The following is a 17269-nucleotide window of genomic DNA, read 5'->3' on the forward strand; positions in this document are numbered from 1 at the left end:
TTGGAGAAGCAGACCAAGAAGAAAGCAAGCTTGCAACTTAACAACAATAGCAGCAGCAAGAACAACAACAATAATAAATTTCCTTTGGCTTTGCATTCTTCAGATAAAATCAGTGGTGAATAAAATTTTTATGGAGAGTAGAAACACAATGACCATTTTGGGTAGGGAATGACATGAGTGAAGCTGGTGGAAGGAAGAATGAACTGGCCACAGACAATGTGTAGGATGATAGAATGAAAAGGGAGAAACGAGTTTGCACAAGCTCAGAAAAAAGATATTTAAAAAACCCAAACAAACATGATAACAGGAGAAGAAATGGTGAAGGTGGGAGATTTTGGCTGCAGCAAAGAGTGACTTTAGTGGCCGATAATGCTTGGAAGAGTGCAGTCGAATATGATTTTTCCTTTATGTGTCGTATTTATCCTCATTGGTCTGGATATCTGCTTTTCTGAAGCACACCAATGAGGGTGTGACCTCAGGGATATTCATTCAGATTCCAGGCCTTCTCTAGCAGAACTACACAAAGGCTAAGAATATGTTGTAACCATAAATTCTCATTTGTATTCCTAATGAACATGTTTTGAAGGACACTTTTACCAGCTAATGTTTTTTCAATCTTATTCTAAACTCATCTATCCAACTTCCTCATGAAATGTTTACGCCATAGTATTTAAGTTCGTGGGTTGGATGAGACATAATCTAGATGACACAAAATCTAACCAGCTATTTACATGATCACAAACAAGCACTGGAATCAGGGAAGTTACCTTATGTTAACATTAAAGTAGCTTGCCAGCAGAGCCCAATATACAATAGCAGTGTATCTATTTTCTTTTCAGTAGTTGATGGATTTTGAAATTTGTCCTTGGCTTCAAGGATTATTGTCAGAGTCCAAAGGTGAACTTATCTATTATTTCCATTAGTGTTTGGGTGATACATGGCAGCAGGCGTTGGGAGAAAGACAGAATGCCTATTGAACTCTCTGAGATGCTGCTGAGTCTAATGGCATAACCTATTTTTTTTATTAGAATGTAAAAAACATACTCATATCCGAATACAACAGCTAAGAAGCAGAACGCTTCTTACCGGTGCAGATTCTTACTGAAGGGAGTGAGAGGACAGTGCGCTTTTAAAAATACATTGTTCTCTAAATTAATAATGACTTTATATTCAGCTTTAAATAAATTATATTTTCAGAATAGTCAAAACCTATGAAGTTAGTTTCATTTGTCCTTGAGGGTTTCCAGTTTTTAATAATTGGAGTTGAATTCATTTTGGGATCTGTTAATTTAAGTTCTAATGGTCAAATAATTATTACATTGGAAAATCAAGAGTCCTGCATCTTCATTATATTTTCACCAGTGATTTACTCACTAACCTTGAGAATTCACTTCAGCTCATTTGCCATACGTAATCTCTCTTTTCCTGTCAAATTTTTGTTAATGAGGATCATTTCCATAGAACTCCTAGAAGGTTTAGAAGATAAATGGAGTTTGGGTTGAAATGAGAAGCATATTTTTTGCTGATAAAGATTTCTGTAGTGGCTTTGAGTATGTACCAAATATCATTTGCATAGAATTGCAATGAGCTAGGTAGCCATATTTGTTCTCATGGTTACTTTTCTTCAAAAAAAAAAAAAAGCTGAAGTGTTTCCTGTATATATTTCTAGCAGTCCTATAAAATGAGATGTGATTCTCTTTGAAATGAGGAAAAGGATAAACTTATAGATTACTTATGAGCTTTCAAAGAATCCTCATGCTCTATTCCTGACATGAGTTCTTGTGGTTTTATTCTTATTGGGTTCAGAAATAAAATGTTCAAATTTATCCTGTCAAAAGATTTCTTGGGCACTGAGATAAGAGCAAGGTTGAGTCTCTTATCAGTGGGTCTTGTCATATAGCTCTATGGTACACTTAAGTTAGCTGATGGCAGTCTGTTATTTATGATGATGGTTTGCCTTGTGTTTGTGCAGCATTTTATGAATTAGCCAAGTTTTTTTTTTGGCATTTTTAAAATGGGCTTTGAAATGGACTTAGATAAAAAATTGGTGAAAATAGTTCCTCAATGTGTGGTTTTTTTGCTTTCTTTTATTGAAAGGGTTTAGAAATGACTTCCCTCAATATCTGGTTGGGGAAATTTCAGACTATGCTTACAAGTCAAAGGAAATGTCTCTGAGCATAAATTGTGTCACTAGGATTTAAAGGTCTATTTCTAATATATTATTTAGAGCACTTAAAAACTTTATCAAAGTCAAATCAAATCTAAGGGGGAAAATGCAAGAGCTTACTTTGGTAATACTGAATCTAAGAGAAGAAGGCTTAGGGCAAATAGACAACAGGTTTAGTTTGGTGATTCAAAACATTTTTAATATCACAACTCTACATTTATACTCACACATGCCACATTAATCCTTCTTATACTGTTGTAGTTAGTCATGAGAATGCTTGGCCTTCAGCTTGATGTGCTATTTTCTTCAAAAACGCTCTTTCTTGGAGACCCTTTTTGATGTTACTGTCTTCAAATGTCCAGATGTCTTAGATTTTTCATTACATCTTGATTGTTCTCCTCTCAAGTGTAAGTTTGTTGGTCATTTACTGACTTCACAAGTCCTTTTATTTTCATGATCATTGCTTTGACATGAAATAAGCCACTCAGAATTCTGAGACTTTTCTATAATTAAGCCCTTCTGATTAGATAGGCTGGACTTTTAATCTATACTCCCTTGTTATCTAGGCCTGCTACAGCTCTTTTAAAAGTTGGTCTTATATATGATACCATATAAAACAACACTTCTATTCTGAAACTGATTCAGTTTTTAACTTACAGTATTTCTAATGTATAGTATTTCATACTTACTCTTTTATCTTTCTTGTGAACAGACTCAGACTCTAACTTACACTTATTAATTGTCGTTTATATGTCAGGCCCTGTATCTGACAGTAGAAATAAAAAGAAATTAGAGCATCTAACCTCAAAGAGTTCACAGTCAAGTATACTCCACTTTGCTTTCTGTATCTCCAAGATGTGTAGGAAAATATCTAAGCAATTTTTACCTGCACAGCATCTCAACAGAAGACAATTGTGTAGGGGAATCCTCACATTCTAATTTTAGCTTACTTATGCTTTTCTGCTGAGATTTTATTTTGCAGGACACGGAGTAAATGAGCCTGTCTAATACTTCCTAAGGATTCTCTTTTTTGAAGGGAAATGCTTCACACAAACAATCAGCTACACACCTAAAAGCCATAACCTTATGGAAAGGGATTAGTCATAATTGTCAAGTCTGTTCCTCTAATTTGGTGGCATATTCAGAGGCTCATGGGAGATTGTTCAGAAATCCTGGAGGGGATCAGTTAGACCATTTTTTTTAGCAAAGGGAGTCTCTGCTGAGCAGGCTGTAGATATCTCATAAAAATCAGAGGGGATAGAATTGTTCTTGGTTTTTTTAAGAATGAGAAAAGGGTACTGTTATAAGAAAAACATACAGACTCCAGGTAGACTAGCGCCATATGCAAATAGTGAGGACCAGGAGGCAGCTAGAACATCACAAGGAGCCCCATAGCACTTCCTTTCCCCCACAACCCCATTGGTGGACTTTTCTAAGGAAGGCAAATCGATGAAGCATGGGGTGTGGAATGGGGAAGTTTACAGTGTAGTGGGGCTGGCTGTTGAATGTCAGCTGTGCCAACCTCTCTCAGGCAGTACCCCACCCAGAATCCCCACTATTTTTATAGAATAGAAACCCTATTCTCCACAAATGAAAGAAAAGTCTTAGAAAACTCTCTTATATATAATTTTCTTATGAAAATAAAACAGTTTCTGGTACTTAAGTTACACCAGAGAATTCCCAAAGCGTCCAACATGCTCAGCTCAAAAGAGGCTTTCCCTTTCCCAGATGGATGCAGCCACATTTGTGTGACTTAACCAGGATGAGACAGAAATAATTACCCCTCTTATATATCACTGTAGTGGCTTAAGGAGAGGGCCCATGGGTCCCCACCTCTGGTGCAGCTAGATAGTCATGAAGCCTCCAATCACCTCCACCCTGAGATAGGTATCTTCCACATTTAGCAATTCAAGCTTCTGCAGCCACCCAATGGATTCATTTTGCTTGCTGTCCAGATAGAGCTGATTTACCAAGACAGGGGAATTGCAATAGAGAGAGTTTAATTCACGCAGAGCCAGCTGAACAGGAGACTGGAGTTTTATTATTACTCAAATCAGCCTTTCTAAACATTTGGAGGCTAGAGTTTTTCAAGGATATTTTGGTGGACAAGAGAATGGGTGCTGCTTATTGGTTGGAGATACAATATAGGGGTGTGGAGAGTGGTCCTCTTATGAGCTGAGTCATGCTTCTGGATGGGGCCACAGAACAGTTGTTGGTGGGTCTGAGTGGAGCCATTTGTCAGCAGAAATGCAAAAACATGAAAAGACATCTCAAAAGGCCAATCTTATGTTCTACAATAGTGATGTTAACTGCAGGAGTAATTGGGGAAATTACAAATCTTGTGACCTACAGAATATACACTGGTAGTCATTTCTGTCTACACCTTAGCAGGGTTCAGGCTCTTCTCATCCTCTTAACCAGATGGTCTTTCATTAGCTTTCCAAAGACAGTTAAGTTTTGGGGAAGAGCCATTGTCATTTAAACTAAATTTCTCCCAAAGTTAACGTGGCCCAAGCCCAGAAATAACTAAGGGCAGTTTGGAGGTTAAAGGCAAGACAGGATTTGGTTAGATCAGATCTCTTTCACTGTCATAATTTTCTCATAGTTATAATTTTTGCAAAGGCAGTTTCACTTAAGTTTAAGATTGTGTTTTCCTCTTCCTTTGTCTTTATCATTTACCCCCACTGTTCTAGGCAACTGCTCTTAGCTCTAGTGCCCCTTCCTCAGGGATGGGATTTTCTGAGTCCTTGCCATGGTTTTCCTGTTTTCAGGGAAATCCAACCTGAGATGCTAGGCTGGCTCTGGGAGAAGTATCCAAGGCCAGGGAGGGAGAGGCGGTAGGAAATGAGGACTTCATAGTGCAGTTTTCTTGTATATTTTTAGAAATCCCCTTGGCTTTTCAGGCCAAAGTGCTGCTGTACCATATCAGCCTTTACTCCTTCCTGTACTAATTAGTATTGAGTTCTCTCTATCAGAGAAGTCTGTGGAGCTGACTGTGCAGTTCCTCCCATAGCATATCATCACTGTTGCCAGTTTTCACCAGATGATTTTTCTTCAGCTCAGTAATTAGTTCTCTGTGTTTGTAGAAAATGGTTTGGGGATGGTGGAATCAGAGAGATGACCTTTGTCTGTGTTGTGGAGAGACTGCCTTCCTGGTGGTTCAAAGACGAGGAGAAAAAATGTTCAGAAATTTTGGCCTTGGTTTCATGGAAGTCAGATTCATCATGGCTGTGTCACTTGTTTTTCTAAATAATAAAACCATTTAGGCATACTTTTCGTATATTTTTTTAACAAGTATCTTGCTTTGTTTATAAAATAAGAAGTCCTATAAATGTGCAAATGATATTATACTTGGGAAATAAATGGATGTGCTAGGTACACTCTATTGAGGCCCATTTATCATGCTGCTAACTTTTGGAGTAGGTTAAAAATACCCAAATGATTGTAGCTGAATTGTGTTATCAGTCTTTCACTTATTGAAAATAATGCATTTAAAATTACACATTTTTCAAACAGTTATTATTTGTTATGTCCTGTGCTACCCATGAGAGTCATTTAGCTTGGGCAAAACTTTTAACTTCTCTTTGCTACATTTTTTCCTTTCACAAACTAAACACAATTTTGTGATAATTAAATGAAGAAATGACACTCCAACATCTGGACATAAAATAGAATAATCAAAATTAGGGGCACAATGAAAAGAGCTAAGAGATTTCAGAAGCTGAAGATGTAGAGGGATGGGCATAGGGAAATGTTTTGTAGAAGAACTGTTTTTGTGCTGGACCTTGGAAATAGTTTGGTCATGTCAAGATGGGGGAAAGGTACCAATGGAATATGAGTGCTGAGAAACAGGACTGGGGAGTGTAGCTAGTTGGGCTAAAGGATGGTAGGACATAAGCACTGAAAAGGGAAGCTTAAACCAGATTATGGAGAGATTTGGATGCCAAACTAAGAAACATGGATTTTGATTCAGAGATGGTATTTGATAAAATTGTCTTCAAGAGCTAAGTTAGATTTTCCTCTCTATGAGCTGAACTAAAGCAACCTGTCACAGGGTGTGCAGGGGTTATCTGGCACAATTCTGATCCACAGTGATTCTTCTTATGACCTATTTAGCTTGGGAGAGATGTGCCAGGAAGAAATACATTTCTTTCTCTCATTACCCAAGGATAAGTTCTCACTGTGGCAAGACCCCTGGGTTGGGAGATGATTCTACATCATGTTTATTAGGTCCCATTAACACTACACCATATTAGTTGTTATACAAAGCACTTCCAGCAAGGCTGGTTTACAGAAATGTCAAGTCCCTGCTATTATCCACATGAAGACCCTCCTTCCTGGCCCTGCACACAATCACTGCCTTTCTGTGAGTAAGCAGATGCTATGACTGGGCTTTGTGCTATGACTTTCCCTTGCTGGAGCACAACAGCAGATTAGGTTAGCAGTCTTATTGGCCCTGCAGAAGATAAGAATCCAGACACAGACTCATAGTAAAACGCCATAGCGCCCAATTGTCTTTGCCTTGGCTGATTTAAGGCTATTGACCCACTTTGTCCCCATTTTATAGGAACATGAATTTATTGTTGATCTTCCATGTGGACATATGCTTTTCTCTTATAATCAAGGTGACATAAATCCCAAAGAGAGTGAAATTTATTCTTTTAAGAGAAGTTATAGAAATTATAATATAACTTTCCATGAACTAATCTGCAATTCTAATTTGCAGACAGGAAATATTAGATGACATCGTCAGTCTTCCAGCCAAGGGACAATTATTCAATGTTTACTTCAAAGCTTGGTTGACTACAGGCTTTAAACAATTGCACAGCCATCAAACATTCTGTGCTGAGGACTGTGTCCCTTTCTGTCACTATTGATGGATTTCTCTGTCAGCATCAAGATTTGCTTGTGCCAGACCCTAAGGTAGAGGCTGGTAATTTCATGATGACTTCCAGGCCCTGTGTGATATAGTAAGCTTTCAGCAGAGGTAGCTCTTAGGCTGGAGAACTATAGAGTAATGAATATACTTGACATTCAACAAATATTTCTGGGTAACTACCATAAGCCAAACATTTAAGTGCTAAACCATATTGTAATGGCCTATGAAATTTGGATTCCTTTTTAAAGTCAAATATTCACATATAAATACCTTTTTAAACAGAATCATAGATTTAGAAGTGGTTTTAATATTCATGAGACAGCATTCACCACGAGGCATTCCCTGCCTACCCACCTCTCTATCCAATATTGCAGTTCTAGCCTGAGAACTCTCTCTCCAGTCCATATATCCTGGATTTTGTTCAATTCTTCATAGATACCAAGAAATGGCCTTCCTCAAATCTTGCACATTGTTTCTTTTCCTGGAGTGCTCTTGCCTATCTGCCTTCTACCAGCTACACCAGCTAACCCCTATTCTACATTTAGGCTGCAGCTTTACTGCAGCTCCCCTGAGGAAGCATTCCCTGATCTCCCAAGACTCATATCTCTTTAATGTATGTTCTTTGATCCCCTTGTTTTATATTCTTAAATATTTTTTCCTCTTTCAGAACTTTATACACCTATAACAATTTGTTTTAAATCTGCCATCTGCATTAGACTATTATCTCCATGAGAGCAGATGCTTTGCTTGCAGAACTATCTCAGTTATAGCATATAGCAGATTTTCAAAAGCTATTTAATGTTTGGAGAGATCATCTTGCTTAAGCCTCCTTTCACATCAGAACACTGAAGCTCAGAGATGATACACAGCTTTTCCATGGAACATGGTTAGGATCCAAATTGATACTAAATTTCCTGACAGCTAGTCCTATGCCTACACTATTTCAATCATGGTGCCAGAGCAGGCACCTATGGGGCTGTGAAAAATGTTCCTCTGGGTAGGAGAGGTAGCACATGTAGTATTCTGCATATATGTTCTTGCCTTCCAGCCAACCCAAATTTAAAAATAAATATTTTGGCATATTTTCAGATTTACAAAAATTTGTCAGTATGATACAAAGAATGATCATATACTCTTTACCCAGATTCTCTAAGTGTTAACATTTATTTTTTATTTAAACATTTATTTTTTATGTCTATCTACTATCTATCTATCTATCATCTATTTATCTATCTATCTATCTGCTATAGTCTGAATGTTTCTGTTCCCCACCTCCTCCAAATTCATATGTTGAATGCTATTCACCGAGGTGATGATGTAAGTAGATGGAGCCTTGGGAGATGATTAGGTCATGAGGGTGGTGCCCTCATGAGTAGTTTAGTGCCTAAAATGGTTTGGCTGTGTCACCACCCAAATCTCATCCTGAATTCCCACGTGTTTTGGGAGGGACCTAGTGGGAGTCAATTGAATCATGGGGACAGGTCTTTCCCATGCTGTTCTCGTGATAGTGAATAAGTCTCATGAGGTCTGATGGTTTTAAAAAGGGGAATTTTCCTGCACAAGCTCTCTTTGCCTGCTGCCATCCATGTAAGACATGACTTGCTCCTCTTTGCCTTCCACTATGATCGTAAGGCCTCCTCAGCCATGTGGAACTGTAAGTCCACTAAACCTTTTTCTTCCTAGTCTTGGCTATGTCTTTATCAGCAGTGTGAAGACAGACTAACACAGTGTCCTTATGAAAGAGGCCCCAGAGAGCTGATATGCCCCTTCCACCATGTGAAGGCACAAGAAGACACAGTCTATGAGGAAGCAGGCCTTCACCAGACAGTGCATCTGCTGGTGCCTTGATCATAGACTTCCCAGCCTTCAGAACTGTGGGAAATAAACTTTTTGTTCTTTATAAGTTACCCGTTTGTGTATTTTTGTTATAGCAGATTTAATGAACTAAGACTCTATCTATCTATCTATCATCTATCTATCTATCTATCTATCTATCTATCTATCTATCTATCATCTATCTATTATCATCTATCTTTCTAGATGCTATCATCTATCTATCTATCTAGATGGTATCATCTATCTATCTAAGACTATCTATCAATTATCTATTTATCTACCTATCTATCCCTTCCTCCTCCTTCTCGTCATCGTCATCAGTTATCTATCTATATATGATTTTTCCCTGAACTGTTCAACAGTAACTTATAGATATGATTCTCCTTTATTCCTAAAGAGTTTAGCATGTATTTTATAAAAACAAGAGCAGTCTTTTCCATAACTACAACATAGTTATCAAAATCAGAACATTAAAAATTAACATATTATCATATAATCTCAGTCCTATTCAGATTTGTCAATTTTCCTAATAATGTTCCTTCTAGCAAAAGAAGATGAAAGTTTATGTGTTATATTCAGTTGTCATATGTCTTAGCTTTCTTTTAATCTGGAATAGGTTTATAGTTTTCTAGAAAGAATAGGCCAAGTATTTTGTAGATTGTCCCTTACTTTGGATTTGCTTATGTTTCCTCATGATTACATTGAGGTTACAATATACTTTTAGCAGGAACACTGTAGAAGCATTTTGTCCCAATATTGGCAATATTAACTTTGACTGCTTAACATATTGTCTGCCAGATTTTATCACTGTAAAGTTACCTCTTTGTCTTTTGTAATTGATAAATATCTGTGAGGAGATACTTGGAGATTATATAAATATATTATTAGTTCTTAAACTTCCCTCCAGTGGTTTTAGTACTCACTGGAGATTCTTGCTTGAGTCAATTGTTATTATGATTACTAAATGGTAGTTTTGTATTTTACAATTTCTTCTACATTTGTTAGCTGCCTTTCTACTACAGCCCTTCTCCCATTATTTTGTTTGTTTATAACAATGTAGACTCATTGGGTTATTGTTTTATTCAGTGGATTTTAATACTTTTCTATTAGTTATTTTGATTCTAAATTATTTCAGTTTTGGTAAGTGGGAGTCTTTCAGATTGGCTCCTGGGTCCTTTTGGTACATTCCCATGTTTCTTGTAGCACTTCTTTACTTTCTGGTACAAGAAGATGTTGCGACCTCATTTTGTAATCTCCCTGCCTCAGCCCTGAAATCGGTCATTTATCTAAAAAGATGTGCTTGATTCTATCAAGAAATAATTACTTATAGACCCTTTCACACATTTATATATTTTAATATCTATTATCTCTCTTACTCACTTCTACTATTTTTATCTAAAAAACATGAGTCTACACTGATATCTCCATTTCCAATTCATACTAGTGGGATCATTCTAGCTTTCTGCCTTCTCATGTTTGTTTATTTTTTCATGCCTTCTCATACTTGTAATTCCCTTTTCCAGTGGCGAGAAACCTGGCTACCATTATTCATGACATAATGCCTTATTTGCTAATCATAGAATACAAAGAAAATGGTTTCAGGTTGCTCATCCATGTCTATGTAAAAGAAGCCCACGAATAAGAACTCAATATTTGTTTAGAATTATATTTGTTTTTAGCCTAAGTGTATATCATTTAAATCCTGTAGGAAAAAGTTACCTGGGTTAATTCTCTCTCCAATTTATTCAGTGTAGGTAGGTTATTCTTTTGAAATATGGTTTGCTATATTTGTTTTTGTTTTGACTCAATTTTAGAGTTATTTCCCTATCCTTTCCGATTTTTTTTGTGTGTTTTTTCTTTCTTTTTCCTTTTTTTGAGTATGTAAAACATTGCCATGGTCCCAAAAGTCAGACCTGTACAAAAAGTATACACAGAGGAGGGTCACTGACCACCTTCTGTCATTCCTTTCATGCTTCCCACCTAGCCTCATCCGCCTTCTCTAGGTAACCAATCACATTAGTCTTCTACTTATCGTCCCTTTGTTGTTTTTGCCTAAATAATCAGATACTTTATTTCCTCTTCTTTCTGAAAAAAGGAGCTCTCTTCCACACTCTGCCTCAGTTCTTCCAGCTTTGCTTCATTCCTTTGCATAGTTGCTTAGTATTCCATTTCCTAGATACACCACAGTTTGGCTAATGAATAGTGTTTGTTTAGACATGTTGCTTCCAATATTTTATAATAATAAACAATGCTGCAAGGAATATATTTGTGCACAAGTATTTTCAAATTGTTGGAGGTATAGTTGACCCTTGAAAAATGTGCAGGTTAGTGGTGCCAACCCCCATGCACTAAAAAGTCCATATATAACTTTTGATTTCCCAGCAACTTAACTACTAATAGCCTATTGTTGACCAGAAGCCTTACCAATAACATAAGAAGTTGATTAACATATATTTTATATGTTATATGTATTATATACTATACTGCAATAAAGCAAGCTAGAGAAAAGAAAATTTTATTAAGAAAATCATAAGAAAGAGAAAATATATTTACTATTAATTAGGTGGAAGTGGAACATCGTAAGGCCATCGTCCTTGTTGTCTTCTTGTTGAGTAGGCTGAAGAGGAGAAGCAGGAGGAAGGGCTGTTCTTGCTGTCTCAGAGTGGCAGGGGCAAAAGAAAATCCATGTATAAGTAGACTGGCAGTTCAAAGGATTCTGTTAAAGGATCAACGGTATATCTGCAGAGTAAATTACTTAAAAGTGGTAATTCTATATCCTAAGGGAATGTATATGTAGCTTTGTTAGATATTGCCAAATTCACCTACTATAAGGATAGTATCAATTTTCATTCCAACCAGCATCATATGATCGTGTACCTGGAAACCCCCTAGAGAATCTATGGTGACTCAGCAATAAAGAATTCATTAATGTGTCAAGACATAAAGCTAATGAATAATAATCAATTATATCATAAAATGGTAGGGGAAATTTCATTTACAATGGCGAAAAAGAAGACAAGATACTTAAATTTAATAAGAAATATGTAAATCCTATACATGGAAAACTTTAAAGCACTTCTGAGAGACATAAAAGTAGACTTGAACAAATAGATCCCTTGTTTTAGGTCTGATGACTCAACATTATAAAACTATCAGTTCTTTCTAAGTTAACTTATAAATTTAACATAAGTTCAATAAAACTACCAACAAGTGTGTTTTGTTTGTTTTGTGTGTGTGTGGAGCTAGAAAACAATAATCAGAAATACATAAAAGAGTTATAAAGAGCAATTAGCCCAATTAGATATGAAGACATACAATAACATATAGTCTCTGTAATTAAAACTCTTTAGTACTGATGTTTGAATAGAATATTAGACAAGTGCAATATAAAAGGAAGTGCAGATATAGGTCCAAGTACATGTAACACTTAAATGTTTAAAAAGGTGACATTTCAAAACACTGGGGCAAAAATAAGTTTTTCAGTAAATGAAGCATGGACAACTATTTATTCATTTGAAAAAATAAAACAAGCTCCATATCCCACATCATACATAAAAATAAATTAGAAGTGGACCAAGGATCTAAATATAAAATACGAAACCATACAAATACCAGAAGTAAACATAATAAAGGATGGGTCTAATTTATCTAGTAGAGACCTTGGTCTTTGCCACATGCTCTGAAATGACTTTCAGGGATGGTGTAATCAGGGAACTCTACACTTTCCCTACCTATTGGTGTCTTTTTAGTTTTATGATATACAACCCTGCATTAGTCAGCTGCACCCACTAGCCATGAGGCTACTGAAGTTGGCACTTGTGCATGTCACTCTCTGGTGGGATGGTGAGAATATGTCATCGTGTTTCACGATGTCATGCCATTCTCATGCAATTTCCCCGTCTTCATGTCCTTTTTTGTCCATGCCTTTTTTTTTCTTATCCTTTTTATCCTTAAAAATAGCTTATTGTACCACATCCAGGAAAGATTTTTATAACTCTTATTCCTTATTTTGTTTGCCATACTCTGGGTTTCCTATGCATATATTTAATGTCACAAATACTTTATTGTAAAACAATTGCTGATTTGCATCTGAATTCCTCCCTAGGACATAATCTCTTAGAGAACAGGAACCTTATTTTATTTGATTTTTATTCCTAGTACCTACTAGAGGCTGGCATATGGTTGGTGCTTGCATTAATCCTTATAGGCTAGATTGTGTTGCAAGAATCATCAACTGTCCAATCTTAGGGACTTGACACAACAAAGATTTAAATATCACTCATAAAATATATTGAAAATCTGGGTAACTCTCCAGGGTAGTTGTCCTTCCTGTGGCTGCTCACTGATCCAGGCTACTTTGATCTTGTGACTCAAAGTTCAACAAAATGTGGATGCGTCATTTTATTTACACTTCAATGGCCAGAACTTACGAAATGGCCTCATCCAGTTGCAAGAAGTTTGGGAAATGTAGCCTTCCATATTTACAGGAATAAATGAAAAACTGGATATTGCTTAATAATTGTTAATGAGTGAAGTACTATCAGGGCATTTCTGAAAATTCAGCAGAGATCAAGGAACTTGAGAGGAGTCTATATTGCAAAGATCTCCAATCAAAAGAAACCAAATTAGATAAATTCTGTAATTTATTTTCAGGATTGATAATATAATAACTCCCTGAAGAAAACTTTTATCTGAAGTCTCCAGATCATTCTAGGTGTTTCCATATTATTCTAGGAGGTATAGTCTTGTCTCACAGAGAGGTAGCATACCCTAACCTGAGTTCACAAATATCTATAAATCAAAAGGTCCTAAGAGCAAGTGGGTCACAAATCATAGTCCTAGAAAAGACTTCTGAGTTGGAGAATTTGCCCAGTCAAGAACAGGGACGAAGGTAAAAGGATTCACCTATCTGAATAGTAAGGAGAGGGTTGGCAGAACAAAATATTGTCATGGTCCTAGATGGGGTTCTTGTCCCAGATGAAATTAGACAACAGCCAGGAAATGGGGCAGAAACTCACCCTGGAGTCTTAACTTAAGGAGTCATGGGAAGCCAAAAATGAGAGAGCATGTGGGTAGCTGAGGAGGCTCATTCAGGATATATGGAAACTTGACCTTGAGAAGAGGAGTAATTCTAATCTCCATAAATTCTTAGAATTACCAGATGTTGTTCTCGTGGGATTGATGGTAAGATTGAATCTGAGGATTGTATTATAAGCCCAAACCCTCTGTGATTAAAAACAAAAAGATTTTCTTACTTTTACTCTTAGTTAGAAGCAACAAAAAGTAACCCTTAAATGAGCATGCAACAGGATGAGGAACTGGCATGGGAAAACATTAGGCCTATTCATTTGGGCCAGGGTTTGTTCTGTTTCCCCTGAACAGTCGCAAAAAGAATGCCTTCCTCATGTTCCACCCATCAAGTTTACAGGATTAAGTAAATACTTTTGACAAAACCATGCTGTTTTAAATTTAAACTCCTTTTCCTGCATTTCTGACATTTTCTTCTGCTGATTCCAACAAAATAACAGTTTTCTATTATGTAAAGAGGAAACATGGGGTTTAGGTATTGAATTCTGTTCTTATATCCATATAAATGACCTATTATGTTCCAGGGCTTATAATTAAACATCATTTTGGCTTTTCTTTGTGTATGGATGTGACCTTATATTTTGGCATTAGTTACATTTTGTGTAATTCTCTTTCTCTCTCTCTCTCTACACACACACACACACACACACACAATTTATATTATTAATATAGTTTTACAAGAATAAGTGGAAGACATCATTGATTACCTCATACTCCTAAATGCTTAAGTTTGTAATTCTTAAGAGCAAAGCCTTTTTTTAACATAACCATGATATCAGGAAATTTAACATTGGTATAATACTTTTATTTATTCTCTATAGTCGAATGTTATCAATTGGTCCAATATCATTATAGCTATTCTTTTTCCTGGTCCAATATCCAACATCATATACTACATTTGGTTTTTATGCCTCTTTAGTCTTCTTTTACCAGGAGCATTTCTGTCTGATGTTTTCTCATGAATAGACTCAAGCAATGCATTTTTGGCAAGAATATTAATGAAAGGATTTTGTGTCTTTCTCAGTATATTGAGTCATGTGATGATCATGTGTCTCAATATTGGTGATGTTAGCTTTGATTTCTTGAGTAAGGTGAGATGTCATCCAAATTCTTCCTTTGTCTAATTACTGCGTTTCCCTGTGTAATTAATACAGAATTTGTGGGAGATATTTGAGTCTATATAAATACCCTTTCTTACCAAACTTTCACCTGCTAATTTTACTATTCATTAATGTTTTTCAAATATCGTGTCTTGCATATTTATTAGTTAGCATTATACTGAAAAGAAGGATTTTTCCTTTTCCCTAATACAATTGTTTATTCATGTGCTTATTTATATCAGTATAGACTCAAAGATTTTTGTTTCACTGAAGTAGTTATAATTCATTATCAACAATATACAAATTGTTCCAGATCATTTGAGGCTAGTTCCTGCATAGTTTTGCCACATTCCCATCATTTTTTGAGCAGCTCCTCGCTTTTTACTTTATTTTTAATTTTTTTAGAGATGGAATCTTACTCTGTCACCCAAGCTAGAATTCAGTGGTGTGATCATAGCTCACTGTAACCTAAAATTCCTGAGCTCAAGGGATCCTCCCACCTCAACCTCCTCAGCAGCTGGGGCTGCTGTGCCGCTACACCAAGCTCATTTTGTTAGAGATGGGGACCCACCATGCTGACCAGGCTGGTCGCAAACTCTTGACCTCAAGTGATCCTGCAGTCTCCACTTTCCAAAATGTTGAGATCACAGGCGTGAGCCACTGCACCCAGCAGCTCTCATTTTTAGTGCAATAAAGTGTTCCAGGCTCACACTGTACTTTCCCTGCCCCCGCCCTGGAGTCAGTCATGTCTCCTAGGAGCTTAGACTTCTGATTTAATTAGAGCAAGTCTATGTTGTAGTATGCTTTCCCAACCCTCTCCTCACTATCCCCCACACAACTCTATATTCCAGACTATCAGCCTCCTCACTGCTCTGCAAAAATATGGCACTAACTTCTTCCATGTCCACTCTTTCTCCTTTTTGCTGCCTACCAAGCTCAGTCCTCTCTGAGGGTCAGTTCCTTTCCCTTTACCTCCATGACGGATGCACGTGAAGAGGCGTTATGACAGCTGGAGCTCATTCATACCCAGGCTTGATTCCACTAAACTGGCTGGCTAGACAAGTGCCTTCGTCTTTCAGGAATACTTGTATGTTTCCAGAAGCTGCAAAATTGGAAAAAGACTTTATGCTCCTGGGAAGAGGGGATTTGTGTTTTAGTGAAACGTTATATGAGATCTTCAATCCTTTACAACAATGTTAAACGTATTTTTGAGCTCCGTTTCCCCCACAAGAGTTTCCTAAGAAACCCCAGCCCACACTCATTTTTCCCTTCTTTGAACTCCTACTACACTTGGTTGCTGAACCACACAATCTAGCTTTTGTCTATGTGCCTGCTATTTCTGTTATAGCTTCAAATTTTCCATAGTGGTTATTAACTACTTAAGGGAAAAGATGGTTTCATATTTATACATAAATATGATTTCTTCCATAGGATCTGGCCTCACTTCCTATACACAGACAAATATACAGTTCTTATCCTTATGCCTCACACAAATAAGTGCATTAAAAATGATTTTTTGAGGAAGTGAACACAGATCATAGAATTCCATGAGACTAGAACTTAGGTCTCATGACCTCCATGCCTATGATTTCTTAACTCTTAATATATTATACCATTAAACCCCCAAACTTGGCCATATGTTTAGCATTATTCTATATATCTAGATATTATAGTCTTATAATATTAATCATCTTCCCTTCATGTTGGAATAAGAATTTTTTTTTAATTTCATAGAAATGACAAGTGGAGGATAGCATGAATCTCTGACATCCATCGATCATCCCCAGGCTCCATTAAAGCACCTGAGTAAGAAGTAGACATTGTTCTTTGTTTCTCTTTCTCCAGGTCATTTCTGCAGAGCTTGTCATGTTGACAGCAAAAGAAAAGGGCATGGGATATCTGCATATCCACTGTTTAATTGATCCCTAGCCACATTTTCTAATTACTGTATATTTTTTCCATTAAATCAAGTCCATAGGTATACATGTTAGTTTTCTAGATATATTTATATTTAAATGTCAAAATTTAAACACCAAAAAATTTCTTATTGTATGTTTATTCCAGAATGTTTGTGAAATTTACTATTTTTGATATTTTATTCATTAATTCAATAAACACTTACTGAAAGTCCACTACATGCATTGTGCTGGGCTCTTGTGTCAGGAATGATTTACTGAGGAAGTAATATTGAGGTGAGAC

General features: G+C 36.5%; 1 annotated feature.

Annotated features, from left to right (window-relative positions):
* Positions 10996-12195: an enhancer, noted in NCBI's record as "MED14-independent group 3 enhancer chr5:57011915-57013114 (GRCh37/hg19 assembly coordinates)". NCBI's record gives its function as "activates an origin of replication core promoter dependent on BRD2, BRD4, P300/CBP and CDK7 cofactors, and independent of MED14, by STARR-seq in HCT116 cells {active_cell/tissue: HCT116}" and the evidence as "EXISTENCE:reporter gene assay evidence [ECO:0000049][PMID:35650434]".

This window comes from Homo sapiens, chromosome 5 (assembly GCF_000001405.40).
Source record: "Homo sapiens chromosome 5, GRCh38.p14 Primary Assembly".
Classification (NCBI taxonomy): Eukaryota; Metazoa; Chordata; class Mammalia; order Primates; family Hominidae; genus Homo; species Homo sapiens.